The sequence below is a fragment of the Homo sapiens genome, chromosome 15, assembly GCF_000001405.40.
Source record: "Homo sapiens chromosome 15, GRCh38.p14 Primary Assembly".
NCBI classification, from domain to species: domain Eukaryota; kingdom Metazoa; phylum Chordata; class Mammalia; order Primates; family Hominidae; genus Homo; species Homo sapiens.
In genome coordinates, this window is record NC_000015.10 from 40,424,719 (window position 1) to 40,452,312 (window position 27,594).

General features: G+C 52.9%; 2 protein-coding genes across 27 annotated transcripts in view, besides 12 other annotated features; both read left to right on the top strand.

Moving 5' to 3' along the window:
- IVD (isovaleryl-CoA dehydrogenase) overlaps positions 1-11,229 on the top strand; it is a 30,153-nt gene extending 18,924 nt beyond the window's left edge. For 8 of the 11 annotated variants that reach the window (XM_047432460.1, XM_047432461.1, NM_001354600.3 and 5 more), the window contains one exon: positions 10,699-11,229. In XM_047432460.1, the coding sequence (XP_047288416.1) occupies positions 10,699-11,015 (317 nt within the window). In that variant the 3' untranslated portion in view covers positions 11,016-11,229. Of the gene's footprint in view, positions 1-2,271; positions 2,585-10,698 lie in introns of all 11 variants that reach the window. The other 3 variants (XM_017022153.2, XM_047432462.1, NR_148925.2) reach the window with 2 other exon arrangements.
- Positions 11,713-12,251: an enhancer, noted in NCBI's record as "H3K4me1 hESC enhancer chr15:40728630-40729168 (GRCh37/hg19 assembly coordinates)". NCBI's record gives its function as "activates a minimal SCP1, AML or CMV promoter by ChIP-STARR-seq in naive H9 embryonic stem cells {active_cell/tissue: H9 hESC(naive)}" and the evidence as "EXISTENCE:reporter gene assay evidence [ECO:0000049][PMID:30033119]".
- Positions 12,252-12,789: an enhancer, noted in NCBI's record as "H3K27ac-H3K4me1 hESC enhancer chr15:40729169-40729706 (GRCh37/hg19 assembly coordinates)". NCBI's record gives its function as "activates a minimal SCP1, AML or CMV promoter by ChIP-STARR-seq in naive H9 embryonic stem cells {active_cell/tissue: H9 hESC(naive)}" and the evidence as "EXISTENCE:reporter gene assay evidence [ECO:0000049][PMID:30033119]".
- Positions 12,734-27,594, top strand: part of BAHD1 (bromo adjacent homology domain containing 1) — a 30,785-nt gene continuing 15,924 nt past the window's right edge. For 4 of the 16 annotated variants that reach the window (NR_125372.2, NM_014952.5, XM_047432247.1 and 1 more), the window contains exon 1: positions 16,235-16,550. Coding sequence is in view for 6 of the 16 variants with exons in the window: in XM_011521367.4 (XP_011519669.2) it covers positions 20,684-20,825 (142 nt within the window). In the remaining 10 variants the exon portion in view is untranslated. Of the gene's footprint in view, positions 12,867-13,957; positions 14,071-15,038; positions 15,248-15,399; positions 15,463-16,234; positions 16,551-16,691; positions 16,818-17,721; positions 18,608-18,630; positions 20,826-27,594 lie in introns of those variants that run through there. The other 12 variants (XM_011521367.4, XM_047432241.1, XM_011521366.3 and 9 more) reach the window with 10 other exon arrangements.
- Positions 14,941-15,478: an enhancer, noted in NCBI's record as "H3K27ac-H3K4me1 hESC enhancer chr15:40731858-40732395 (GRCh37/hg19 assembly coordinates)". NCBI's record gives its function as "activates a minimal SCP1, AML or CMV promoter by ChIP-STARR-seq in naive H9 embryonic stem cells {active_cell/tissue: H9 hESC(naive)}" and the evidence as "EXISTENCE:reporter gene assay evidence [ECO:0000049][PMID:30033119]".
- Positions 15,941-16,610: a silencer, noted in NCBI's record as "silent region_6331". NCBI's record gives its function as "represses an Ori minimal core promoter by ATAC-STARR-seq in GM12878 lymphoblastoid cells {active_cell/tissue: GM12878}" and the evidence as "EXISTENCE:reporter gene assay evidence [ECO:0000049][PMID:35858748]".
- Positions 15,941-16,785: a biological region, named in NCBI's record as "H3K27ac hESC enhancer GRCh37_chr15:40733201-40733702".
- Positions 16,037-16,222: a silencer, noted in NCBI's record as "fragment chr15:40732954-40733139 (GRCh37/hg19 assembly coordinates)". NCBI's record gives its function as "represses an EF-1alpha promoter that drives an FKBP-Casp9 reporter gene in an ReSE screen in K562 erythroleukemia cells {active_cell/tissue: K562}" and the evidence as "EXISTENCE:reporter gene assay evidence [ECO:0000049][PMID:32094911]".
- Positions 16,284-16,785: an enhancer, noted in NCBI's record as "H3K27ac hESC enhancer chr15:40733201-40733702 (GRCh37/hg19 assembly coordinates)". NCBI's record gives its function as "activates a minimal SCP1, AML or CMV promoter by ChIP-STARR-seq in primed H9 embryonic stem cells {active_cell/tissue: H9 hESC(primed)}" and the evidence as "EXISTENCE:reporter gene assay evidence [ECO:0000049][PMID:30033119]".
- Positions 16,671-16,730: a silencer, noted in NCBI's record as "silent region_6332". NCBI's record gives its function as "represses an Ori minimal core promoter by ATAC-STARR-seq in GM12878 lymphoblastoid cells {active_cell/tissue: GM12878}" and the evidence as "EXISTENCE:reporter gene assay evidence [ECO:0000049][PMID:35858748]".
- Positions 16,786-17,285: an enhancer, noted in NCBI's record as "H3K27ac hESC enhancer chr15:40733703-40734202 (GRCh37/hg19 assembly coordinates)". NCBI's record gives its function as "activates a minimal SCP1, AML or CMV promoter by ChIP-STARR-seq in primed H9 embryonic stem cells {active_cell/tissue: H9 hESC(primed)}" and the evidence as "EXISTENCE:reporter gene assay evidence [ECO:0000049][PMID:30033119]".
- Positions 17,451-17,570: a silencer, noted in NCBI's record as "silent region_6333". NCBI's record gives its function as "represses an Ori minimal core promoter by ATAC-STARR-seq in GM12878 lymphoblastoid cells {active_cell/tissue: GM12878}" and the evidence as "EXISTENCE:reporter gene assay evidence [ECO:0000049][PMID:35858748]".
- Positions 17,591-17,660: a silencer, noted in NCBI's record as "silent region_6334". NCBI's record gives its function as "represses an Ori minimal core promoter by ATAC-STARR-seq in GM12878 lymphoblastoid cells {active_cell/tissue: GM12878}" and the evidence as "EXISTENCE:reporter gene assay evidence [ECO:0000049][PMID:35858748]".
- Positions 21,078-21,579: an enhancer, noted in NCBI's record as "H3K4me1 hESC enhancer chr15:40737995-40738496 (GRCh37/hg19 assembly coordinates)". NCBI's record gives its function as "activates a minimal SCP1, AML or CMV promoter by ChIP-STARR-seq in naive H9 embryonic stem cells {active_cell/tissue: H9 hESC(naive)}" and the evidence as "EXISTENCE:reporter gene assay evidence [ECO:0000049][PMID:30033119]".

A 27,594-nucleotide genomic window follows, 5' to 3' on the forward strand; every position in this document is an offset into this window, starting at 1 on the left:
TCACATGACACTTAGCTCACATTTTGCTGGTATACTGTTATTTGTGTATACGGTCCTCTCTGTAAGATCTTTGAGGTCAAAGACCCTCTCTCACTTATCTGAACTCTCCCAATAGCACCCGGGGCTCACAGTAAGTGCTCAGTGGCTATGTTCATGCTGAATGAGTGAAATGACAGGTGGGCCAGAGCCCTGGCCTAATCCCAGCATTGGCAGAAACAGCAGGGCCAGCCGGCTTTGCCTGGCCCTGTTTTCTCCAGGCCTTCCCACCCTGGAGTGGCCAGAGCCCAGCCGCAGAAGGGAGGCCCTCATCCCCGTACTCCTCTGACCCACTCAGAGACAGAAGGAAGCTGTGCTAAAAGACCCTGACCCTCCTCTGCTAGCTGAGGACGAGAATGGGAGCTGGAAGGGGAAAGGGGCAGAGCAGAGCCACACAGCCTTTGTGTTCTTGTGTGAAATGCATGGTATATATGGGAGAGTATATACATGCACATATGCAGTGTGAAAAATAACAAACTCCTGTGTACCCAACACGCAGGTCAATGAAGACAGTATTCCAAGCCCATGTGCCCCTCCTTGACATATTCTCCCCAGGGGAGCCACCATCCTGAATTTGGTGATAATCCTCCCCTTACCTTTCTCAATGGCTTCCTGCCTCTGTATAGATCCCTGAACAATATTGTTTAGGTTGCCTGATTTCAAACTTTCTATAGCTGGACTCATACTATATATATATATATATATATATATATTCTTCCATATCTTGCTTTTTGGCTCATCATTGTATAGTTTTTGTTTTCTTGTTTTCTTGGTTTTTTTGTTTGTTTGTTTTTCATTTTGTTTTGAAACAGGGTCTCACTCTGTTCATGATCACAGCTCACTACAGCCTCAACCTTTTGGGCTCAAGCCATCTTCCTGCCTGGGCCTCCTAGGTAACTGGGATTACAGGGATTTGCCATAAAGCTCAGCTAATTTTTTTGTATTTTTTGTAGAGATGGGGCTTCATCATGTCGCCCAGGCTGGTCTCAGACTCCTGGGCTTAAGAGATCTGCCTGCCTCAGCCTCCCAAAGTGGCCTCCATGCTCAGCTCTTTTAAATTTTTTATTGTTTTTGAGACAGGGCCTCACTTTGTCACCCAGGCTGGAGTGCAGCGGCGCAGTCATGACTAACTGCAGCCTTGACCTCCCGGGCTCAAGTGATTCTCCCACTTCAGTCTCTTCAGTAGCTGGGATTAAAGGCCCAGTCCGGCTATTTTTTTTTTTTTTTCTTAAATGTTATAGAGACAGGGTCTCACTATGTTGCCCAGGCTGGTCTCCTGAGCTCAAGCCATCCTTCTGCTTCAGCCTCCCAAAGTGCTGGGATTACAAGTGTGAGCCACGGTGCCCAGCCTCATTCATGTTAATGAGCAGGACTGTAATCTCTTCAATTTTTTTTCTTGTGTAGTATTCCATAATGTGGAAATACAACAATTTAATTGTCCATTCTACTGTCGATGGACATTTGGGCTGTTTCCAGTTTGGGGCTATTCTAAAACATTCCTGGCCAGACGCGGTGGCTTATACCTGTAATCCCAGCACTTTGGGAGGCCGAGGCGGGTGGATCACCTGAGGTCAGGAGTTTGAAACAAGCCTGGCCAACATGGTGAAACCCTATCTCTACTAAAAATACAAAAATTAGCCGGGTGTGGTGGTGGATGCCTGTAATCCCAGCTACTCTAGAGGCTGAGGCACAAGAATAGCTAGAACCTGGGAGGCAGAGGTTGCAGTGAGCCGAGATCACACCATTGCACTCCAGCCTGGGCAACAGAGCGATACACTGTCTCAAAAAAAAAAAAAGAAAAGAAAAAACCATTCCTGTGGGTATCTTCTGATACAGATGTGCAAGTGTTCCTCAAGTCATAGTCCCAGGAATATAATTTATCTGTTGTAGGCTATGCACCTGATCAACCTTACTAGATAATTCAAAACTGTTTTCCAAAGTAGTTGTGGGCCTATTAGAATGATGCCACCAGAGGTGACTTGGGGCAAAAGTTGAATGCCAGCCCCAGGGCTAACCCCATGAGCTTATTTTCAGCAAGGGAGAGAAATCAGATGGCAAAAGTGTGCATCTGTGCATCGCTGCTTCCCCAGCCAGGCCCATAAACCACATGTTGAACAAACCTTTATAGGCAAGCTACTAAGACCCATGCACTGGGCGACGGGCTGGGGAGATGGTAATGATTTAGCACAGACCAGCCTCAGAGAGCAACAATTACGTTTCCATTTACCCTGCCAGGCAGCCGGATGCTCCAGTTTTGCCCTGGAAGACACGAGAGAGTAAGGGCTGGATAGATAAGTGGGAATTTTCTTGAAGAAAAAAAGGTATTCCAGGCCCAGGAATATCTCAGCACAGGCAGTACCTCCGCTCCTCAAAGGTGGCCAGTGGATCAGTGGCGGAAGTACAGAGGGCTGCCCTTGCTGGCAGAAGAAGGAAGGAAGGAAGCAAGAAGACTAGGGCTACGCTCGCACTGGCAGAGAGAGACACAGCTCCAGATCCAGATCCATTCAGACACAGCTTGTGCCTTGTGCCCGTCCAGGAGCAAACATGGGTGAGCATGCACATGGACATGCATACGTCTGCACACACTTTCAGAGAGGCTGTCAGACACGCTGCAGGAGCAGAGGCAAGGAGCGTGAACACGCAGCTGCTTGTGGGAGATAAGCCCAGCGCTGGGGGCTGCCTGCCTGGCCTGCCTTGAGAGTCCCCTTGCACATCTGCCTGGGTTCCCAAGAGGCAACCTCTACAAAGACATGTGTTTTCAGGACAACCTGCCCCCTCCCGCAAAGTCTTTCTATTTACAGGAATAGAGTAGCAAAATCCCTTAGTTCATACTTGAGTCTTGTCTGATGCTGCAGGCTGGCCAGGGCTGGGCATACAGTGGGTCTCTTTACTTGTTGAAGTAGAATAGTTAAATGAAATTTACTATAAGATAAATTAAGATAACTTTACTATAAGATATATTAAGATTTAAAATAGGGGGAAAGAGGAACCTGAAATGAGAAAAGGGTAGTGAAGGAAGACTTGATGTCCTTCATAACTGGCCTGCATCCTGCCCAGCCCCTCCTTTCTTTCCAGAAGCCCACCAGTGGCCCAGAGTGGAAGGGTGGGAGTCAGACCAGTCCAAGGTTGCTAATTAAGACTGGACTGCCAGGCACGGTGGCTCATGCCTGTAATCCCAGCACTTTGGGAGGCTGAGGCGGGCAGATCACCTGAGGTCAGAAGTTTGAGACCAGCCTGGCCAACATGGTGAAACCCCGTCTTTACTAAAAATAAAAAAATTGGCTGGGTGTGGTGGCACGCACCTGTAATGCCAGCTACTCAGGAGGCTGAGGCAGGAGAATTGCTTGAACCTGGGAGACGGAGGTTGCAGTGAGCCGAGATTTGGCCACTGCACTCCAGCCTGGGTGACAGAGTGAGACTCCGTGTCAAAAAAAAAAAAAAAAAGACTGGACTGTTTGTGGGTTTTATATGACTGCTGCTTGAGACTGCTTGAGAGAGCTGAGATCTGCTCTCCCTTCCTAAGACTGCTTCCAAGGCCCGGAGCTGGCAGCAGTTCAGAATCACCACCTAGATATTGAGATCCAGCCAGTTCCAGGTCCTCTTGTACCTCTTCCCAGCCCCTCTCTCCCAGGTACCCCGGGCAAAGTATACTCTACGGTCCTTTGAGGCTGGAGAAGCAGGTGGTTGTGAAATAGGCTGGCCTTTGGGACCTCCCTCTCCCCTGGTACCCTCCCTCCCTAGGAGGCTGCTTGGCTCCAGAGTGAAGGAGCAAGTGGGGGCCCTCCATAGTCTTCTCCTTCCATGGCCAAGCCGCCCAGGTGCTTGGAACCTGGCCACACACATCCAGGTGCCCCATTCACTGGCCCTCCAGGCTGTCAGAGACCTTTGTATTGCAGTTTTTCTGCCCTCCCACCTGATCACCCACACCTCCAAGGGGGCTGCAACCTCCTGTTCGGGACTCCTGAGCCTGGAGAGAGGCTGTGGGGGGTGGGGCAAGAGCCCTGGAAGTGCCCCAGAATGTGGAGCCTGTTGCCAATAGGGGCAACAAGACAATCTCTCTGTAGGACTGACTGTGAGGCCTCCCCAAAGAAGGATCGGGCAGAGAAATGCAGGGTCCTCAGCCCTGCCTGGGACATCTGCAGCTGCCTCAGAGCTCACATTGTGTGGATCCCAACAGCATTTCCCTCAGTAATGAGGACCCAGCCCGGTCCCAATTCTGCATTCCCCTCATCCCCAAGGCTGGAAACTCCCTATGGCCACTCCTGTGGGCTCAGCCATCTTACACTACAAGCTCCTCTGATAAGTCCCATCCCTCCGCCCAGCCTGCCCACTCACCAGGAACAGCCATACAACTCATTTCCCTGCTGCCCCATGGAAACTTCATCTCTCTGTGCCTCAGAGGGTCTGCCAAGCCCCTGTGGCCCACCACTCCATCCCCTGCCAGTGGATGCTCTGGCATGGCCAGCGTCCTCACTTAGGCACCTGTCCCCCAGCTGGCACACCCCAGGATCAGCCCACACGAGTGACCTGCCCCCACATCCACCAATCCCCTGCTCAGTTAAGAACTGGCATTTGCTGAGGGACTGTTATGTCCCAGGGTGCCAGGGATTCAAAGACTAGTAACAGTACGGGGCCAAAAAAGTTTACGAGTTAGTTGGGGAGATAGACATAAAAACTATGAGACATCTCAATTACTCCAATTTTAATGTTACCCATTCTTTAAGACCCAGCATGAGCACTAACCCATCTACACGCCCACCTGTCTCTGGTTTGCTGCCGTATCCCCAGCACTTTGCACTTGGCTCAGTGGAGGCCCTCTCCCTCCAAATAAATACTTGCATAATGAATGCAAAGCAGGGGGCGGGGGCAGGCTGCAGGGAGGATAACTTCTTCGCCCTCCACCAACCTTATCTAGATGAAATCAGATTTAAATAAAACATCAAGGGCGGCCTTGGAGCTGGGAGGGCAGGAGTGGGCAGGGGGGAATCTCAAGGCTTCGCCTTGAACTAAATTCTTCCATCTTTTTAGTGGCAGCTAAAAGAACAGAGTTCTGGGGCCGCAGCCTCTAGCTTCTCAGGGAAGCCATCTGGACTGCCGAAGCCAGAACTGTAACTTTTATGCCTCCAGATTTCAATGAGTCTTCCTTGTCAAACCCATAACCAATTGTTATCCAGTTGTTGAATGAATCAGGTCAGGACATTTTATAGTAAAAATATGTACAAGTCACAAAAAGTACAAATGTTGGTGATCACTCCTGAAAACAGGCAAACTGGGTCAGGATGGGTGTGTTTAAAGGTAGGGAGGCAGAGCCTGGCACGCAGTGTGGCTGCAAGAGGTAGTTTTCTAAGCTAATATGGAAGTCTAGCACTGTGGCCACCTGGCAGAGCAGTCAGGGTGCAGAGCCGCTGCGGCACAGGCAAAGGCTTGATTTCTCTGCCATTCATTCATCACTGAGTAGCTGTTACTGAGAACCTATCATGTGCAGGTACCCTGTGGGCCATGGAGAAACAGGAGGACCCAGGGAGACGCAGATGTGGTTTTCACCCTAGCCTAGCCGGGGAGGCAGATCTTAGCCAGGAATCACCGGCTTGCCAGGCTTGCTAGGAGGAGAGCATTGCAGGTTGCGGAGTGTGACTGAGCCCGAGAGATGAGATCAGAGGAGCCTCCTGGCTGGGGCGGCAACAATAGTCAGTTCCAGATTTGGATCTTTATGCTGAGTGTAAGCAGGAGTCACGGAAGGGTTTAAGCAGGAGAGTGCTATGAGGCAGTCTATTTTGGAAAGATCCCTCTGACTGGGGCAGAGTGGATGCGGGAGGCTGGGCTGTGGTTGATCACAGAGGTGGGAGGAGATTCGAGGCTGGAGACTCCAGTAAATGACAGGCTGTGGTGATGGATTAGCTATGGGTGGCGGCTTGGGAGGGAGAGGGAGGTGCCAAGGATGAGTCCAAGGTTCTTGACTCTTAAAACTGCCAGTGCACCCCACAGTGGAAACATTGGGAGAACACTGAGTTTGCTTGTAGTTGGAAGTTGGCTGAAGTGTATCTGATGTTCTTGAAAGACCATATTGATGTTTCAGTGTCAAAGAGAGTGCAGAAGGCAGGGAAAGGGTACTTTTGATAACGGCTTTGCCAAAGGAATATCTTTTTATAAAGAAATATGACAATCGACTTGCAACATTTTGCCCCCAATCTAACAGTGAGATGAATGTTGCTCACAGCAACTTCATGTGTAAAATTTGAATGAGTTGCTAACAGACATTTGGAAAACATAAGAGTAGAGAATTGTTTGGGGAAGCTTATTTAGGAAGAAGTGATGGAGAAATCATTAAAAGTGACAAGGCTGGGATGTAAACCCTGGCTCCACTATTATTACGCTTTTTTTTTTTTTGTCTTTTTTTTTCTTCCTTTTTGTGGAGAACGGGGTCTCGCTTTATTGCCCAGACAGGTCTCGAACTCCTGGGCTCAAGCTATCCTCCCACCTCTGCCTCCCTGAGACCTGGGATTACAGGTGTGAGCCACCGTGCCCAGCCGGCTCCACTATTATTAATGTGACCCTGGGAAGTTACCGAACCTCTCTATGCCTCAGTTTTCTCATTAGTAAAATGAGAATAATAACACTATCTATTTCATAAGACTGGCTGGGGATTAAGAGTATGTGTAGGCCGGGCGCAGTGGCTCACGCCTGTAATCCCAGCACTTTGGGAGGCCGAGGCAGGCAGATCACGAGGTCAGGAGACCGAGACCAGCCTGGCTAACATGGTGAAACCCCGTCTCTACTAAAAATACAAAAAATTAGCTGGGCACAGTGGCGGGCGCCTGTAGTCCCAGCTACTCGGGAGGCTGAGGCAGGAGAATGGTGTGAACTTGGAAGGCAGAGCTTGCAGTGAGCTGAGATCACGCCACTGCACTCCAGCCTGGGCTACAGAGCAAGACTCCATCTCAAAAAAAAAAAAAAGATTATGTGTAAAGAGCTTAACACAGTGCCTAACTCATGGAATCTCTCCAGGAACATTACCTATCACAGAATACACCCTGACAGAGGGAAGCAATGAAAAAGGCAATTGCTGATTTCCCATAATCCCTTTCAACAAAGAAGAGTTGTTGTCTATATAACTAAGTGTAATTTTTATAAATGCCCTTATTAGATTTTTAAATATAGTATAATATTCACAAATCAAGGGGAAAAATTGTCAGGCCTCTCATATCTAAGTCTTTTTTTTTTTTTTTTGAGATAGATTCTCACTCCATCACCCAGGTTGGAGTGCAATAGTTCCATCTTGGCTCACTGCAATCTCCACCCCCCAGGTTCAAGCGATTCTTATGCCTCAGCCTCCTGAGTAGCTGGAACTACAGATGCGTGTCACCACACCTGTAGAGACAGGGTTTTGCCACATTGGCCAGACTGGTCTTGAACTCCTGGCCTCAAGTGATCCGCCCACCTCGGCCCCCCAAAGTGCTGGAATTACAGGTGTGAGCCACTGCGCCTGGCCTATCATATCTAAGTCTTGATGTCACTTTTCCAGTTACTAATCATCTGGCCCAGTCTTGCTTAGGTCATACACTCTTTGATGTGCTCTTCAGTTTCTGAGGATCACGCCTCTGCTGGGTGGAGTAGCTTTCCTAGGTCAGAAGCAATGCTGTCTGCATGGCCTCCCAAGTCTTCTTGGTGCCTGCACAGTGCAGAGCACAGGTGGCACCATGGTTGGTTAACACCATACTTGTGGCCCAGACTGTAGTCCCCCCAGAGGGTGTCTGCTGGAAAGGGCTGGTCCTGGCTCTTGCTGTGGGTTCACTGAGGTTAAGTGAAGATGGCAAAAGAACCACAGGTGATTCTCTCCTCTGCTCTGGGTTTTGCAAGACTAGAGAGGTCAGTGGCTGTGGCTGAGAGCCTGTAGGAGATGGAACTACCTCACCTTGAGGAATGTGCTTAGGGATGCCACAGAGAATCTTTCCCGAAGAGGGAAATGGCTAGGGCCCTGGCCTTGGGAGGATGGAATGGAGAAGCCATGGGAAGAGGGGCTGGCCTCTCCTCCAAACCCAGCAAAGGGAGCCATCCTGCCTGACTGAAGCCAGAGTGGGGCCCACTGCTGGGTGGACAGAATACAGCCACAGGCACTACATTGTCAGAGCTCCAGATGGGAGACAAGGAGTACAAAACAGAGGTGGAAGACTGATTCCAGTATGGAAGCAGGGCAGGCTTCAGGCATGGCCAGATTTGGGCATGATGAAATAGATTCACAATTGCTAATGTTCTGGGGGCACTTGTGGCTACATCAGGTACTATTCTAAGTACTTTATATGTTTTAAGACACTGTAGCGCCAGGACTGTACTCAGAAAGTCTGCATTCTTAACCACTACGCTATGTGAAATGTAGAAAGAAGAAAGCTTTTAGACATATAAAGGGTTAGACCTCTATTTTATATGTTAAATGCCGTATGAAAAAAAAAGCAAAGGTTTTGGAGCCACTCCAAGCCTATGTGATCTTGGGCAGTTACTTAGATTCTCCAGGTCTCAGTTTCCTCATTTGTTTGTAAATTTGAGAGTACATTTACCTACCAGAGTTCTTGAGGGTTAAATAAAGAAACGTATGTTGAGTGCCTGTTCATGCCTTCTGTAAGAGACACCTGCCCCCTCTGGACCTCCTGCCGGCTTTGGAGGCTCTCAATACACTGCCCATTCCAGATCTGGATTTCTTCATCTTCCCAGGGGTCTGTACGTCTGGAATAAAGGAACCAACATAGTGGATGCACCCCTGGTCTTCCAGTCCACAGCACTGGGAGTTCCTCAGGGGAGAAGTCATACTCCAAGTTGATATCTGAGCGGACAAGTGTTCTGGTAACAGTAAAGGAGGTGACCCTGGAAGCTGAGGTCCCAAGCAACCCAAACCTAGATCATCACAGAAATGTCATGTTTCTTGGAATAATTCTCCCCTCTCTGTGTATTTATCCATTCAGTTTCTATTTACCAATTGTTTACTATTCAGTTCACCAAGCATTATTAGGCAACTACTATTTGCCAGGTATCATGCCATGTTCTCAGGAGTCACCTAGAAGAGCCCACAAACTCTGGACCATGTTTAATTTCCCTTTTCGTCTCCAGCCTGGGTCCATGGATCTTGGAGTGTGTTCAGTAAACATCTGCTCCTGGGGCAATAATGAAGGTACTATTAGAGATTGGCATGAGAATGCAACAGGGCTCTCTGAGTAGGTTCCAGTGAACTAGACACTGCAAAGGGCTGCACCACGATACCCATCCATGTCTCTGTGGCCACAGTGCAGGGCAAGGATCACACACCTGAAAACCTTCAGGGTTCAGGTCCCGTAAATGCCCCACATGGGCAAGGTGGGAGTATGGTAAACTGGAGCATGCCTACCCCATACAGACTGCATTTGCTACTTAGTACCAACCTACTGTTGCAAGTGAAAATGTGCGCCAGGGGTAGCAAATCTTCTGATTTTTTTCAAGAGAAACTGTAAACCTGGATTTTTATTTTGAATCTCCAAAAATTTCAGCATTGGCCCCTAATTTTAATCTTTTTTGAAAGCCCCATAGACAGTTAAATGGAACTTGTCTGCCTGCTTACTTTTGCTCAAAGGCTATTAGTTTGGGAGCCCTAAGTGTGCCTGTGAAAGGGGAGAGGTAGAGGGCTGTATGTCCTGGGGCCAGGTTATGAGAGACCTAGAATGCCATCCTTCCTTGGGGCCAGGACTGTGCTAGACACACAGGAAGCCATAAAGAGGATGTTAAAGCCATAGGCCTGCCCTCCAGGGGTTTATAATCTTATAAATAAAGACTTACGGGCAAAGCAGCAGATGGTCAGGAATGTGTGAGGAGGAGACAACTTGGAGTGCATAGAGTTCAGGGCAGCAGGGAGCAAGGTGGAATTGAGCTTCAGGAGAGTTTCACCTGAGCTTCGGGAGACCTTTCCAGGAAGTCAGGCTTGGACTGTGAGTATGAGGATTCTGGAGGACTCTGGGAGATCCATAAACAAATATGAATGGGCACGACCTATGCTGGAGACCCCAAAGAAAAGCCCCAGGGAATCTGCTTCCCGGTGTCATGGGAAGAGGCTCACAGGAAAGGGCAGGGCTATAGCATGAGGCTTCACTGACACCCTCACACCCCTTACTATTGAACCTGGCCATCCCTGGCCTCAGAAGTCCAGTGGGGTCAGCCTCTCCAAGCTTGCAGAAGTCAGTGTTGGGGGCTTGGGCAAGTGGTACAATTCCGGCTAGGGTATAAGCCCTGCCTGTGTGGCTCAGGCCAGGCATTAATGGCCCTAAGCCTCAATTTCCTAATTTGTGAAATGGCGATAGTAATTGCATATACCTACTGAGATTGGGGCGAGAATGAGAAACCAATATAGGATGTCGTTTGCCCCTGTTCCTATATGGTTTTTATGAGAAATGTGCACCACCTGGGGTGGGGGAAAAAGCACCTGGAGGGTGAAGCGAAGCTCGTCCCCATGTTTGTCTTTCTTGTTGCTGCTCCGGAAATGACACGGATTCTGGGAGGGCTGCCTATCTTAGCGAGTGAGGGAGGAGTGGAGCATGGGGGTCTCTCCATTTCTTCCCCGGGGAAAGAGATGGTAGAGCTCCTGGTTGGCAGGCAGGAGCCGCTGGGGTTGTGGACAGCGCTAAAAGAGGGCTCTCTTTCCCCTAGGGCAGACCTTTTCCGCCCAACACCCACCTGGGAGGGAGGGCGAGACCCGAGGTCAGACGTCCCTGGAGCAGGTGAGCACTGCGAGGGAACTGAGATGCAAGATCCTCCTGCCTGAACTCACACCCCGCGTGCTGCTCCCCCAACTCGCCTCTTGGATCTCAGACCAGAAGCTTCCTTTCCTCAAAATCCTTCTATGTTCTCCAACGTCTTTGGGACAGAGCTCCTTGGCAGGGTTTACAAAGCTTAGGTGGCCCTACCCACTTCTCCAGCCTCATCTGCTGCCTCACCCCTATACCACAGCTCTGCACCTTTGCTGAAACTGGTACTCGGCGCTTGGGGTGTCCTCATCTTTCCCCTACCTATGGCAGCCTGCCCGAAGAGTGCCTGCTCCTTCAGGCTCCGCTCTCGGCTTAGCCCCTTCTTGGAACGTCCCCGCACCTCACCCCAGCCCCTTGCCAGGGGCAGACCCTGGCAGCCTTCCCTCGTCCTCAGCAGCCATTACGTGTTGCTGTCATAAAGTTATCACTCTGTTTTCTGTCTACTTGTCTCTCTAGCCCCAGCCCATCCCAGCCTCCGACTGCAGGCTCCTGGAGAGCAGGAAAGCCTGGCTCCCCGTGGTAACCCTAAGGCAGGCCCTCTGCCTGGGGCGTCCTGGCACCCTACGCGGGCCGGAGAGCCGGGCGGGGGCGCGACGAGGGGGCGCCCAGGCCGCGGGCTCGGAGCCGGGGTTGGGGGTGGGCGAGGGGAGTCCTTCGCCCTTGCGGCGGGCTCCTGCCCAAGCCAGCCCACCCGGCCCAGCTCCCGCTCCCGCTCCCGCTCCGGAGCCGTGCCCACCGGGCCAGGTGATCTCGAACCTTCTCTCTCTCACACCCCAACAACAAACAACCCTCCACGCTCTCCCTCTGGAGAAAGGAGGTGGAGCCTGACCTCAGCCGGAGGCTGCCGCAGCTGCCGGGGGGAGGGCTTGGAGCTCCAGCCCTTGGGGGAGTCTTTCCTCTAGGGAGTGGTAGGGGTGGGGGCCTTGGAGGGCTCCTGAGCGCCGGGGAACCTCTCCCCCCGGCAGCGTCGACCCTCCCCCAGCGAAGGGAGGAGGGGCAGAGGGGGGGTGGCCTCAGTGAGTGCCCACTTCCGACTCTGTCCCTCTCTCAGGCTGCAGTACCCTCGGACACCTCCTCCCCCACTTACACCCACCCCCTCCTTGAACTCTGCAGTCCCAGAGGCAGGGTGAGACTGGGGACCAAGTGAGCCCAAGGGCTAAGATGCGACTCTGCTGGGCTCCCGGGAGCCTGGGGGGTGCCCATCCCCCACCACTTGACGGTAGTCGGGGGTGTGGGCGGGGTGAGAAGGACCCCGGGGACACTCCGATTAGGTCTGGAGACAGCCTGAAATAGGGTGTAGCCCGCAGTTGTTGGGGCTGCGGAGGAGGCGACTGGGGTGAGGGGCAGAGAATGCACCCCAAGAGAAAGGCATAGGGCCCCAAAGAGGGTAGGAGACGGGATTCAGAGAGCGGGAAGGAGAATGCAGAAACAGCTTTTACGGGGAGAGGCAGACTGCAAAGACGTCCCCTGGCCGGCAATCTGGAGGCTAGCGCTGGGCAGATGGGGGTTTTGGACACAGCGCCATGGACATGTGTTCCCCAAAGTCTGAGCGCATGCAGCCCCCTTGTTCCTTCTTGTGCGGAGACTGAGTCCCACACAGTCCCTACCTCACCGGGACCTCCCCACCCCCAAGGCCGGGGCCGTAGTTGCCTTCAGGGGAGGGAGAGGTCCTGTTCCTCACTGGGCACTCAACAGCTGGCTCCTTGGTGGTAGGAGGGTACCTTGCCCCTCCAGCTCAAGAGTCAGGAGGAGCACTTCTACCTCCTCATCCCTAGGGAAGAGGGCCCCCGCAGGTAAAGACCAGACTTCTGCACTAGGATTTGCCTGGGGGGCAAATAATTTCTGGAGATCCCTTTAAGGAGGGGTGTTCCAATCCCTTTAAGAGGGAGTGGGTCACAGCAAAAGGACTATAAAAGTCCAGCTTTCTTTATTCCCCCACCCCCCAGGGGCTTCCTATGATGGGGGAGGGGGCAAGTGCTGCTGCCGCATTTAATTGTTGCCTTGGTGTCCCTCCCCCAAAGAGCTGTGCCCTTCAGTTCGTCCAGTGGGGCTGAGGAGCCGGGTGGCTCAGTAAGTATTGTGGGGACCTAGACTTCAGGTGCTCTGGGGGTTGGGACAGGGGCTGCCCCACTTCCAGGAAAGAAGGTGGGACCTGGGCAGGGGCTGGAGGGAGGAGAAAGTGGTCACTGCCACCACTGCAGGGACTGCACTGCCGTTGGGGTGCCCTGCCTGGTGCCAGGTGGTTGGATCTCAGGCCAGGCGGTCTTCGGGGACTGCAGCGGGCAGTGGCGGGGAGGTGCTGGGGCTGGGCTGGAGATGACCGAGCAGCCAGTCTGTCCCGGCTGTCAGTCTGGTTGTGTGTGGTGGGGGAAGGGTGCGCCGCGTGGTCTCTCTGGCCCTGGATGTTTTACTCTAGGGCATCTCCCTCTGAGGCAGTTAACCCTTCCCGATGGGTCTGGAGGTGTCTGGGGAGAGAGAGCCCCTGCCTGGCAGCAGCCCGGGAAAGACTCCGGAGACCCGATGGACCCATTCCTCTTTCTACACCAAGTGCCAAACCCTTTTTTCAGTGGGAGACCTCTGGGCTGCCAAACATACCAGGGAGAGGAAAGGTGATGGGCCCCAGGCGTTGGCACAGCTGCCCAGTGAAGTGGGGTGGAGGCAGCATTCACTCAGGAAAGGTTACAGGACCGAAGGAAGGAGGAAGAGGTGGAGCCCTTTCCAGCTGTGGAAGGGCTTTGGACTGGGAAAGAAGGAGGCCCAGTTGCAGAGGTCCCTGAAAGTTGGGTGAAGGAGGCTAGGAGAGGCCAAAAGTTCCCTTTGGGGGACAGGCAGGGTGTAGCCCCTGCCTATTCTTTGCTGGCTTGTTTTAACAAGCAATAGGGAGGAAGGGGGGACAGAGGTGGCTCAGTGAGCTGGCACAGGAGGAACACTTAGTGCCTTTAGCCAGCCCGTGTCCCCGCACCATAGCCCACTCAGTCAGAGCCTCCTGGGGCAGCGGACACCGCCACCCACACTGGAGGCTCTGAGGGGAGAACTCCTCCAGCGGCCAGGCAGGCACTTGGTGGGCTGTCATGACTACTCTGCCTCCTCTCCGGTTGGTATTCCTTCCTTTCCCTCCCACTGAGACCCCAGATAAGACAACACTCCCCTGCTCACCCCAGGGCCCTCTAATGCCAACACCAGGAAGACACCCAATCCTGCCACCTCGTCCTGCTGCCATTTCCTCGGCTGAACGTGGGCTTCCTGCCACTTAGGTCTCCTTCCCTGCCACCAGGTACATTCCTCTTCTGGCCCTCCCGGCCTCCATCCCTGCCCATTATCAGGCCTGAAGTGGCTGCCAAGGTCAGCGCCGCCTGGGCTGCAGACAGGAGCCCGGCCTCTCTTCTGTCTTGGCCTGTAGCATGGCTCTGCCCCCGTGGCCACCACTGCTGTACCCTCCACCACCAATCTCTGACGAGTGGGGGCCACCGTGGGGTTAATTTGCCTATGGGCCAGACTGGGACAGGGAGAGGGGGAATTCTGTGAGGTGGGGAGTAGGGCTGGCCTGGTGTGTGTTGGGGGGGCGCTGCCGGGAACCTCTGTCCTGTCCAGGAAGGGGAGAAATCTTTCAGCGTCCTACTTTTACAGCTTTGGGGTTTTGCTTTCCCCAAGGGTGGGAGGTGGGAGAAGTGGCAGTGGGAGAACCTGGACCTTCGAGACATTTCCGTGCCACAGTTTTAGCTTTTAGCTTCCATTCACACACTTTCCCTGCTGAGGGGGCCCCTCCTTTAAGTGTGTCCCCCCAAACAGCTAAGACAGTCTGGGCCCCCTGGACAGCTCTGGAGGCAGATGGGGAACTGCTTCTGGGGGAGGTTGTTTCCCAGCCATATTGGCTAGCAGCCCTGATTGTCTTAAAAGGCTGCCTGGGTGAGCGCTGGAGTCCCAAGGTCTAGGAAAGGCTGGGCGCTGTGTGTGGTGCAGGAGGAGCCCCTCCGAAGCCCCTGGGCCACACTCCAAGGCTGGGTTTTCCTTGCTTGCCTGGGCAGCCTCAGCACTCTGGGTGCCTCTCTCTGCCCAAGGCGTTCCTGGGGCCCAGCCCCTCCCTGGGCTGCTCCAGCGCTCTGGTGACTTGACACTACCCTTTCTGCCGCTGCTCCTTTTACCTCCTAAAGCTCCCCTCCCCCGCCTGAATTGGGAATGAGGCTTTGTTCAGGGGTGAACTCAGCATTTCTCGAGAACCTACTGTGTGCATATCCCGGGCTTAGTGAAGTCCTAGGCGGGCTCTGGCACCACCAGGTGCCCAAGACACAGCTCCTTCCCGCACCTAACAGGGACTTCCCATCTCTCTCTGTGCCCTTAGCCTGCTGTGCCCACCCACCCCACTGACCCCGCGAGCGTGCTCGGGCTTGGGAGGGCACGTCTGTGGGGGTGAGAGACGGAGCCACAGCATTTGGTGACTAGGGGGAAGCCAGGTAAGTGTCTACACTTGGTTCTCCCGTAGCTTGGGGACGCGAGGGAGGGAGTCCAGCCGCTCCTGTCAGGCTGCCCGCCCCTTTCTCCCTCCCCCGGAGAGCTCTGATGTTCCCCGCGGTGGTGGAAGAGGGTGTGTGGGTGTCAAGGACTCACAGACCAGGCTCTGCTGTCAGCTGGAAATGGATGAGGGCTCCACACTCTGCTTCTGAAGAGGGTGAATTAGGAGCTGGGGTTGGGGGCGGTAGGTGAAGGGCAGAAAGAGGAAAAAGAGATGCGGGTGAGGGGTTACCGAGCCAGGACCGACCTTGCTGGAAAGGAAAGGAGACGTGGCAGGCAGGGAAGTCGGAAAGATGAGGCAAGGGCGGGAGGGGCTTCTCAGCAGTCGGGGCCCTTTTGCAGGAGTCTGGGGCCCTTTCTGCAGGAAAGGGGGGTTGTTCTCGCTTGATTTTCGGCTGGTCTTCCTGAAGCTTTGCCCTGGGGGCAGCAGCCTCCGGCGAGGATGGGGTGTTCCTCGGCCCGCAGTTTTCTCCAGCGCGTGCTGGGGAGGATTTGGGGGAAAGGGGATGCGGAGGGGTGATGGCCAGGGCGGGGGGAGATAAGATTTTTCCGGGGGGGCTAGCAGCTGGGAGATTGGGGTCGAGTCACCGTGGGATACGGGCTCAGGTTCTGAAGACGAAGAGAAAAATCCAAGAAGCCGGCAAAGAAAATCACCCCTTGCCACCACCCTTGGCACGGCACCCCTCCCCCAAGGCCCCACCACTCCCCGCACCGCCTCCCCCGGCCGCCTCGTGCTGCCCCCTGCGTTGGGACGACCGACCCACGGTTCTGATTGGTCAGAGACCGGGAGGGGGAGCCGAGGGCCGGATTGGCTGGCGGAGCCAGCGCAGGGCGGGGCGGCTGATTGGCGGAGCTGGCCGAGGGGCGCGCTGCTGATTGGCTGGGGACGAGGAAGCAGGAAGGAGGGCGGCGGAGGCTCCGCTCTCGGGGAGTTTGTGGGGGAACCGCGAGCGGCGTAGCGGATCCCGGAGCCCGGCCCCCGCCGCCCGCCCGTCCGGCTGCCTGCCCCGCCCGTCCGGCCCCCGCCGTCCGCCCGCCCCGGCCAGGCGCGCCCGCCCCCCCCGACGGCCCCGCCCGGCCGCGGTCCCCGCTCCGCCCGCCCGGCCCCGGCCCCCAGGAGGAGGCGCTGACGCAGCAGCGTGGAGCCCGGGAATTGAGCGCCCCCGGGGGGTTCCAGCCGCCGGATTCCAGCCCGGCCGGGGCCTGCGGGCGCCCAGAGCCGCGCCGTCCGCGCCGCCCGTTCTGGTGAGTCAGGGGCCGGGGTCGAGGAGGGGGAAGGGGCGAGCTGGAGGGAGGGAGCGAGCGAGGTAGGCAGAAGAGCGAAGGGGGAGAGCACCGGCCGCCCGTCAGCGCGCCCCACCGAGCGCGCCGCGCCACCGCCCCCGCCAGCCCGGGAAGGGACGGACGGACGGACGACGCGAAGCAGGTGCGGCCGCCCGCCCGCTCGCGCCACCTCCCTCCCCTGGGTCCGGCACCACGGTCCCGCCATCGGGGAACGCGGCGCGCCTCGAGGTGACAGCCCCCGGGGGCCGCCCGCCTTGCAGGCCGGGGGCGGGGTGGGTGGCGGCCGCAGGGTGGCAGCTCGGCCGGGCGGCGGCGGCGCGGGCGTCCCGAGCTGCGGAGGGCGGGAGGACGCCGGTCTTTCCTCGCCGCGGCGGAGCCGGCTCGCCTCCGAGTGCGCGGGCGGCGAGGCCCCCGCCGCGCCCCCTCCCCCATCGCGGTCCCCGAGGCAAGGGGCCGCGGCCGGGGGCGGCGCCGCGGGATCGCCCGCTCAGGGTGGGGGGCGCCCTCCCGCGCTGGGAGCTGACCGGTTATTGCTGGATGGGGGGCAGGGGATGAGGGCCGCGCCGGGCCGGGGGCGGCAGGGGGGAGTAGTGTAGACCCGACTCGATCGGGCTGAGAGGAAGGGAGGCGCCGAAGACGGAAGGGGACCGGTTCGAAAAGCGAGTGTGGGCCGCGGGAGGCCCTGCGGGGACCTTGCGGGGCGGCGGCCGAGTCCGAGGTGTGGCGGGGGGAATCGAAGTTGTCAGACCGCCTCCAAGTGACAGCGGGACCCTGTGCTCGCGGCCCGGCCTGGTCTTGCCCTGCTCGCTCCGCCGCCTCTCTTCTGGGGCTGGGGGCCGGGTCAGGTCGGGCCCGAGGGGCTCGCTTGGCGGTGAAGCGCCGGACAAAGGCGGCGCCGGAGCGGGCGCAGGTGGTGGCGTCGGGGAGGGGAGCGGGTCCGAGGCACCCACTCCGAGGGGCGGGCGACGGGGCCGGACTCTGCCCCGGGGACTGCGGGGGCCGGGGCGCCCGCCGGGAGGAGCTGCGGCACTGGCTTGCCGCTCTAGCCGCTCGCTGTTGGCCTCGAGGCTCTGGGAAGTGGGGTCTACTTGCCGGGGGCCGAGGGGCCGGGGTGGGGGTGTATGCTCATGATGTGCCTTGGCTGGTGGCGACGGGGTTGCTACTCACCGAGGCGACAGACCCAGTGAGCCGCTGTAGAGCCTGTCAAGAATGAGGGGTTTTTCAACAAGCAGAGTCTGCCTACAGGCAGAAGTCTAACCCCACCTGGGACATCTCCTAGTCGCCCATTGTCGACAGTGTTAGAAGTGCAGAAGACTAGTTTGATTAGGACAAGAGACACCCCACCCCGTGGGCTCCCGCCAGCCCTCCGCAGCTGCCTCCAGCACTTTTCCTTAGCCACAAAGGTACCCACTTAGAAAAATGAGAAGCTGAGTTTATAAATCCAGGCAGGAATTTAATAATGAAATAAAAAGCTTTCCAGTCCTTTTACTTTGTGCCACCTGAGACTTTCCTCCCTACTCTCTTCACCTCGCTGTCTTCCACAAAAAAAAAGAAAAAGGGCCCAGAGGGACCACATGTCTTGGAGGGGCACCACTGTCCTTGGCCAGCTTGGAGGATGCTTAGGAACCACTGGCTTAAGCTGTGAGTGCCTCCATCTCCCCCGGTGACCAGCTGTGAGCTGGATGTTGTTTACCTGCTTGGAAAAACTCATTCAGAGCTCCCATGCCCTCCATGTGAACCCCACACCCAAAAGAAGAGTTGGGATCATAAGGACAGGGAAACTCAGGCTGTTTCAGAATGTGGATTTTGCTGAGAATCTGAGTTCGAGTCCCACCTCAGGTAGGGCTGGTTAGAAGCCGCTCTCAACTGTGGTTGGCTGTAATCCCACCTGGGAAAGCTGCTTGTCTGCCACTTCAGAGGGTAGCATGGGCATGGGAGTTTATTCATGGCCACCCCCCATGGACCTCCCTGGAATGATCTAGACCCCAGCCTGGATGGAGCTGAGGCTTGTGAGAAAGGTAGGTATTACCTCACTCAGGAGGCTAAAGTTTGTTCTGAGATAATTTAATTGCATGTCTAAAATCCAGAGAGTGATGATGAATCTCAAGGCCTTTGTGCCTTCTGTGAGGCTACACGGCATGTGATTTCTTTTGGTGGCAGTCAGAAGGGGATGACGTGGTCTGGCCACTGGAATATGAAGGGGAGTTGCCCAAATAGCATTTCCCTCTTTGGTAGGGCTCTTACCTGGCAGGAGACTCATGCCAGTCGGATCTGGTGTTAAGGAGGGTTTGCTCCGGAGAGTTTAGCCAGTGATTAGGTTCTTTTTGATATCTCCCTCTCTTTCTTCCTTTCTGTTGTCCTGCTGTCCCCGTGTCAGGCCTGTGTTGTTGTTATAGCCTCCCTTTCCCTCCTGCTTCCTTTGGCCCTTCTGATCCAGTCTGTATGCAGCTACCAGGTCATTCTTCCTAAAACACCCCTTCCCGGTGTCACTCCCTTTCTCACAGACTTGCAATGGCTCCCCGTTCCCTGCAGTCTGACCCTAGACAGTGTCCCCTCCAGCTCTTCCCTAGCCATACCATGCACATTTTTTCTTCCTGCATCTTCACTGCTGCCGCTCCCCTTCCTTTACTCCCACTTGAATCCCACTTGTCCTTAGTCTGGTTGTTGCTCAGACCACTCCAGGCCAACATAGTCATCCCCGCCTGAGCTCATGACTCTGGATTTTCTAACGTGGTATCCTCTTGAGTGGTTTTGTAGGTTGGAAATTTCTTAAGGACAGGAACAATATGAGTGTTAAACCTCTGTGTGTGTGTGTGTGTGTGTGAATATTCTGGTATTTCTTGTACAGTGCTGTGCACATCATTTTTGTTGAGTGAATAAATGTGGTTGGTTGCTGAGTTAGGCAGGAACAAGGGGGAGACCTTCCTTTCAGCTTCTCCAGAAATGCTCATATTGGAGTCCTTGGAGATTTCCAGCCCTTTCTGTCAAAGGCATATGGATAGGGCATGTTTGGGGTGCTGTAAATGGGAAATTTAACTGCTGTTTCTAATATTTCTGCTGGTGAAGAGTCCTATGGATTGCTTATGTGATACCATATAGACATTGGAAAAGGGCTGTAATCCTGTTTTCCTCCTACCTCACCGGACCACCATTCTTTCTACCCAGCTTTGCTGCTCTTATGCAGTTTTCCTTGTTGTTCATGCTAAATGAATCCATGTTTTATCTCTTCTCAAACCGGGTGCAAATGAGGGAGAAAACACAATTCTGAGCACAGAAAAGAAAAATACTCCTGGGTCTGGCCCATAGATGGGACTTTTGGGGCTGGTTTGGAAGAGGTGTTTATGGGGGCATCACCAACATAAGAGGCACAATCAGCCCCACATTGGACCCCTCATAAAGGAAAGCTACAATCCCTGCTCTCTCAGGCTTCTGTTTTGGTTCACCATCAACCCTGGACCATGGGGGAAACGGGAAAGAGGACTGGTGACTGGTTAGAGGCCAGATAGTGAAAAAATATATTCTGCATCCATCCCCTTTCCCCCAAACCTCCCTTTTGTGCCCCAGTTTGATGATTAATGGACCAGCATTTCCCTTCTACGCGGGAAGGCCACCCCTCACAGTTGCCATGGCAATGCAGACCGCTCCCCCGTCAATTAAAAAAAAAATCCCTACTACTTCTCTCCTCCTTCTACTGTAGCAGGAGAAAAGCTACCTCAGAATGCATCTCCTGGGCTCTCTTCTCAGCTCCTTTAGCTGTGTTTGCTGTGTGTCCTAGAACACAGTCCTTCCTCTCTTTCTGGGGATTGCCTGAGTTTCTTCACTCTGAGCAAATTGTGCCCCTTCTGGAGCCAGCAGCCCCTGGAACACTTATATCAAGAAACAGAGAAAATTTCTGTTTATTTATTCATCCCCGGTGCAAATTAAAAACTAGAGAGAGCTCCTTTTGGGTAAAAAAAAAAAAAAAAAAAACAACCCTTTCACACCTTCTCTGGTTAGAGGTATAAGTTGGGGCACATTTGACATCCAGAAAGGAAGTTTTAGTAAACCTGGAAGGAATTCAGCCTCCTAGCATACATACTTCAAATTGGAGTTCTATGGGGAATTCTCAAAATTATTTTCATTCCTCCTCACCTCTCTGTTCCAGCATCCAGGAGGACTTGTGTGTTTTCATTTTATCTGTTCTTATTCCTCTTGGCCTTGCTCCGGCAACATCTGGCCTCAGCACCCTGTCGCAAGGTGAGTCATTAAGGAGAATAAAAACCTTAAGGAAAAAAAGTCTCTGGAGTTGAGAAGTAGCCTGTGTTGAACTAAGGCTGCCAGGCGAAGCTGCCGAGTTTATGGAGCATTATACGAACAGCCCCGACATTAAAGGGCCTCCTTTTTATGAATGGGTTGTGAAGAATGTAAATAAAGCAGCATCTCTCAATGGGGAAGCATTTTACATAAGCAGTACTACCCCGACCCAAGTATTTATGGGAATTTGCTAGCACAGTCTGGCAAGGCTCACTTCCTTTGTGAACTTGCCATTGTGCTGGGGACTTTGGAGGGACAAGGAGAGTGTGCTTCGGTTCTGAGGGCAGCCCCAGCACTCCCACTCTGCAGGTTTCCTGGCGTTGACTTGATGGGCCAGCTCATGGCTGGAAATGCCTGTTAACCCTGAAGTGACAGAAAATACCATGCGCAGTCAAGAGCTCATGATAATTAGAGATAGAGGCTCCTGATCCTGGGGTCTGGAGATGGTGTAGCTCCTGACCCCTCAGGCTGCTTAGACCTCCACAGGACAGAGGACAGGGAGTTCTTGGATGATGAAATCTTGCCCGGTTTTATGGGAGGCACCTAAGTGGTGTAAAATGGGCTGGTTTGAATTTCAGCTCCTTTATGTTCCCCTGCCCACCTCCTGGTACTGCCACTAATGATCAGTAAAATGGCTAAAAAGGAGGAGGAGAAAGAGCACCAGCAGCAGTGAGGCTGCACGTGGTCTGCTCAGGGCCAGACGGCCTGACAAGCACCCTCACTGAACACCGGCCCAGCCCTGGGGTTCCAACAGGGGTGTTGGTGTCCTGCCCCAGGTGACTTGGTAAGCAGGCCCTGGAGTACAGTCACATCCAGGACTTTGTGTTGTGTCCCTGTGGGTGGGAGTGGGGTCATCAGATTTCATTTTTCCCAGTGGGAAACACCTGCAAGGATGGTTATTCACTTGACTCAGTGTCCCCCCAACACAAAAAAATAACATTGTCTTTTAAGATCCTCTGCAGGCCCAATCCACCAGGAGAAAAAAAGGGGTTTGTCTCTCAGCCTCGCTGATTTGAATTGGGAACTTATTTCTAAGCACTATGACCAAGTTAGCTGAATGAAAAAAAACAGGTGATTTCTTAGTCTTGTTACCAATGTCAGGCAGGAACTTGGGTCTCAATATTTTTTCTTGCATGTGTTCCTTTTCCAGTGGGTTTGGGGAAAAGAGGTGCTTTGACCTCCTGTCTTTGGGTAAGGAGGATGGGACCTGTCTTTCTGCCGTTCTCTTGACCCCAGGGATCTCACCTGGAGTGCTGTTGATGGCTCCTACTTTTATTCCATCTCCAATGCCTTTTGGGGACTCCTAGCCTCCATCAGTGCAGCTTTTTCAGCTTCCTGCGTGCAGTGGAGAGGGGCAGCCCACACAGACCCTTTTCCAACTCTGGTTACCTGTCCACAATGTTTAGGAATAATTGTTAATCACATTCTCATGTGGCCAGGTGGTTTAAAGGTGAATTACTGTTTTTTAGAGGACCTATGTAGAAATCGTGGGAAAGGTATTATTAGGGTGCCGCTTGATGCCAGGAGATCCTAACAAGTATGCCAGAAGGAGGGGTGAAGTCACGTTTCCACCATAGTCAGGGCCAGCAGGGCCTTCCTCAGTAGTGAGGGGTGTCTCCTGCTTTGTGCCTGGAGGGGTTTCCACATTGGCTAGAATGTAAAAAAGAATTATAAAAATGATTGAGGCCAGGTGCCGTGGCTCACACCTTTAATCCCAGCACTTTGGGAGGCTGAGGCGGGTGGATCACTTGAGGTCAGGAGTTCAAGACCACCCTGGCCAACATGCTGAAACCCCGTCTCTACTAAAAATACAAAAATGAGCCGGGTCTGGTAGCATACACCTGTAATTCCAGCTACTCAGGAGGCTGAGACAGGAGAATTGTTTGAACCCAGGAGACAGAGGTTGCAGATCGCGCCAGTGCACTCCAGTCTGGGCGACAGAGCAAGACTCTGTCTCCAGAATAAATAAATAAATAAATAAATAAATAAATAAATAAATAAATAAATAAATAAAAATAAAAATGATTGAATAACTGAGAGATGATTTCCAGAGAAATTGAAAGGACTTGAATTTATTTGGCCCAGAGGGAGGTAGACAAGGGGCAGTTAATATGTCTTTGCATGTTAAGATGACAGTTTAGAGCATGATGACCAGTTTTTAGTCTTCATTGCAGTCTGGGCTGGAGGCAGGGAATTTCACCTGAGACAAGAGGTATTGGGTAGATGCATGGTTGGGGGTTACCTTTTTCTGGATTTACTATAAAATCAGGACAACGTATCTTTGAAGCTCTCTCATTTATTCATTTATTTATTTAGCCCAGACTTCTTAGCATGTCACCCTTTTCTAGGATATAAAATGTTTGTTTCGGCCAGGTGCGGTGGCTCACGCCTATAATCCCAGCACTTTGGGAGGCAGGCGGATCACGAGGTCAGGAGATCGAGACCATCCTGGCCAACATGGTGAAACCCTGTCTCTACTAAAAATACAAAAATTAGCCGGGCATGGTGGTATGCGCCTGTAGTCCCAGCAACTCAGGAGGCTGAGGCAGGAGAATCGCTTGAACCTGGGAGGTGGAGGTTGCAGTGAGCCGAGATTGCGCCACTGCACTCTAGCCTGGATGACAGAGCAAGACTCCATCTCAAAAAAAAAAAAAAGTTTCTTTCAAAAAAAATTTTTTTAATTGTATTTACGTTCTAGCCCATAGATGCCATTTAATTGGAGTACATCTTCAGTTCCTCTGTGGTGGGAAAACTAATAATGTGTGGTAATGCCAATAATTAAAGCACAGAAAAATAAAACTGAACGTGCAAGTTATCTTGCATCTTGGTCTGTGATCCAGCAGCCATCCTGTGATGCCCTAAGTAGAGGCAGTGTGTTGCAGTGCAGGAAGTGTGGGCCTTGGTGTAGATGCCAGGATGGCTCACCTCTGTCCTCAATCCTAGCAACTTTTTATTTTTTAAGAGCCAGCTCTGTCACCGAGTCCAGAGTACAATGGCATGATCATGGTTCATTACAGCTTCCACCTACCGGGCTCAAGTGATCCTCCCACCTCAGCCTCCTAAGTAGCTGGGACTACAGGCACACACCACCATGCCCGACTAATTTTTTATTTTTGTAGAGACAGGGTCTCACTGTATTGCCCAGGCTGGTCTTTTAACTCCTGGCCTCCCACAGCACAGGAATTCTAGGTTACAGGTGTGAGCCACCACGCCCACCCAGCATCTCCTTTTAACTCTTTTTTTTTTTTTTTTTGAGACGGAGGTTCACTCTTGTTGCCCAGGCTGGAGTGCAGTGGTGTGATCTCGGCTCATCGCAACCTCTGCCTTCCAGGTAGCTGGGATTACAGGTATGTGCCACCACGCCCAGCTAATTTTTGTATTTTTAGTAGAGACGGCTAATTTTTGTATTTTCTCCATGTTGGTCAGGCTGGCCTTGAACTCCCAACCTCAGGTGATCCACCCACCTCGGCCTCCCAAAGTGCTGGGATTACAGGCGTGAGCCACCGCGCCCAGCCTTCCTTTTAACTCTTTGTACCTGTTTTTTTTCCTTGTTAGGATGAAATGGTAACAACTAGCTCATAAGGCTGTTGGGAAGATAAATGAGATAGTGAATGTAGTGTGCTTAGGACCTTGCCAGGTGCATAGTGAGTGCTTGACAAACATTGACCATCCTTTTACAGTAGTCACCTCTGCAGTGAATCAGAAATTTCCAACCCTGCACACTTAGGGTGTCTGGGGACTGATAATGCTAACTTTAGTTCTTTGCTCCTGATTTCACCTATCTGTGACATTCTTTGTCTTGATACAAGTGTCTGTAGTACTACATTCACTTGCTTAATGGTTTAGGGGCAGCCACAGCCAGTGGAATGCTTTCCAGAGGTAGCTGGGCAACTTGGGAGAGAGAAGGAGGAGGATGAGGCCAGGCATGGTGACTCATGCCTGTAATCCCAGCACTTTGGGATGCTGAAATGGGAGGATCACTTGAGGCTAGGACTTTGAGACCAGCCTGGGCAACATAGTGAGACCTTGTCTCTACAAAAATAAAAATAAATTTAAAAATTAGCCAGGCATGGTGGTGTAGGCCTGTAGTCCCAACTACTCGGGAGGCTGAGGTAGGAGGATTGTTTGAGCCCAGGAATTCGAGGCTACAGTGAGCTATAATTGTGCCACTGCCCTACTACTGCAGCCTGGGTGACAGAGCAAGACCCTGTCTCAAAAAAAAAAAAAAAAAAGAAAATGAAAATTGATGGTAATGAAGGAGGGTTGTGCCATGAAAATACAAGAGATTTCCTATTGTAACCTTGTTGCACTGTGGATTAAATTGAAGATGCACAGTGGACTCCTGGGGATGGAGGAGAGTTTGGAGGTCAGAGGGCTCTTGTCTTGAGCTCCAAGTGGTGCTCTAAGTCTAGGATAAAGATTTTACACAGGGTGGGGCAGGTGGACAGCCAGATCTTCATTTATTCTTACCAAGCTCTTATTAAGTCATGTGGGTGGGATTTACTGTTAAGGAAGGCAGAGCCTACCTGTCCCCATAGGGCTGGCATCCTATTGGAGGTGGCACTAGCCACTTAACTAGTTAAGTGAGTGATATTTGGGTAGGGTGCCCATAACTCTGATACGATCTGCCTTGCGATTCTGCTCCTGCTAGTGGAGTGTGGGGGAGGCCTGGTCTTGGATCTTGTTCCTCACAGCTGGTTCATTCAGGAGGTTAGTGCTCTGCTGAGGAGGCTGGAGGCAGAGCTCCATCTTGGCCTGGCTGGCTAGTTTCTGTTCAGGACTAGAGCTAGCACCTGTAGTCTTGGCAAGCCATTTTAGAAATCTAAGTTGTTGGTCCATGTAATGTCCTGGTGGTTGAACCAACACTCGTTCTTTGCCATTCCTGGGCAGGTGCTTGGAGAAGGCTGGTGAGCTGTTCATGTTTTTTGAAGAATGGTGCATCAGTAGCACAAGGTTTTCCCTGGTTCTGCTGAGGCCTGTTGCTGAGCTTTGGGGTGCCCTGTCCCCTGTTTTATTCCTGTTTTATTTCTCCCACATTGTTAGCTGCTCAGAGCAAATGGGTTTTGCTGCAGGTGTAGGTTTGCCTCTGGCTGATCCTGGGCAGTATGGCATCTGGATGGGAGGGTCTGAGGGAGCCTTAGCCCAGAGTTAAGGGGTGCCCCCCAACCCCTGCCTGGAGTCATCCTACATGGAGCTAATAGGGGCGAGTCTGGGAAAAGTTGCATTTGTTTCCTGCTTTAAGACTTTAGCTTTTGGGCCGGGCTCAGTGGCTCACATTTGTAATCCTAACACTTTGGGAATCCGAGGCAGGCAGATCCCTTGAGGTCAGGAGTTTGAGACCAGCCTGGCCAACATGGTGAAAACCCGTCTCTGCTAAAAATACAAAAATTAGCTGGGCGTGGTGGTGGGTGACTGTAATCCCAGCTACTCGGGATACTCCTGCTGAGGCAGGAGAATCACTTGAACCCAGGAGGCGGAGGTTGCAGTGAGCCGAGATCACGCCATTGCACTCCAGCCTGGGCAACAAGAGCATAAACTCCATCTCAAAAAAAAAAAAAAAAAAAAAAAAAAACTTTAGCTTTTGTTTGTCACCCTTTCCTGCATCCAAACATTTATGAAATGAATTTCTCAGAGTGCTGCCCACTCCCTACTGGGCTTTTGTTCCCACGGTACACGTGGCATAAAGTAGGCCCTCAGTAAGTGTCTAAATGCCTGGCTCATATGTACCCTCTGAGAAGCTGCCTTGGGGGGACCCCTCAGCCAAGCTCTGAGCAGTCCATTATAGCCCTTGTCACACTATCTTGTTCTGTCTTCCTGCTAGCCCATGCTCCAACTCTTAGTCTTTTGCATTTTTTTCCAGCACTTAGTCTGGTGCTTGTAGGGGAAAGAGAAAACAAATGAGCTTGTATTGAGAACCTGCTGTATTCCAGGAACTCTGCTAGGCACTTTACACACATTCTTCTTTAACTTAATCCTCACAGCAACCTTGCTGTGTAGACAAGGAAACCAAGACTCAGAGTTCAAGCCATTGACTAAGGCCACACAGGATTAGCAGTGGCATGAAGTGGCTTCCAGCCCCACATGGGTCTCCCTCTGCTGTGGGGGGGCCAGCAAATGTTGGCTGAATGGGCAAAGGTCACAAGAGGTGCTGTGTGCCTGAGAATGAGGGGCAGGCTTAGCTGGGCTAGCACCTGTGGATGCAGGTCTACCTTATGCACACATGAGTTGTGTACTGGGAAGAAGCTGGGGGAAGGCACGTTGCCTAAAGTAGGGACATGTGCCTTTTAAGAAAGCCTCTAAAGACTAGTTTTTTATTGCATGTGATTACCTTCTAATTTGTCAGGTTAAAGTTCGTAAGGCAGAACACTGGTATGATTAAAACACAATGCTCTCTGCCCACTCTCCTCACTCAGGGATCTGTGTGTTGTATAGCAACTTCTAGATATGAGAGGTATACTCTTGTTTCTCTTGTCCTCAGCCCCTGCCACCAGACCCGAGGGCAGTCTAAAAGCAAGCCTGTGTCCAGATGGATCAGGCCAATTCCTTTCAGCTGCACTTCGTGCTTCTTGCCCAGGTGTTTTTAGGCTCCCAGTCTGGTTACAGAATGAATTGAGTGCCCGCAGCAAGTGAGGCTGTATGGGCACTGAGGAGGCAGGGCTGGTGGCTGAGGCCCCTGCTCTCTCTCTCTCTTTGAGGACAGTGCTCCTTGCAA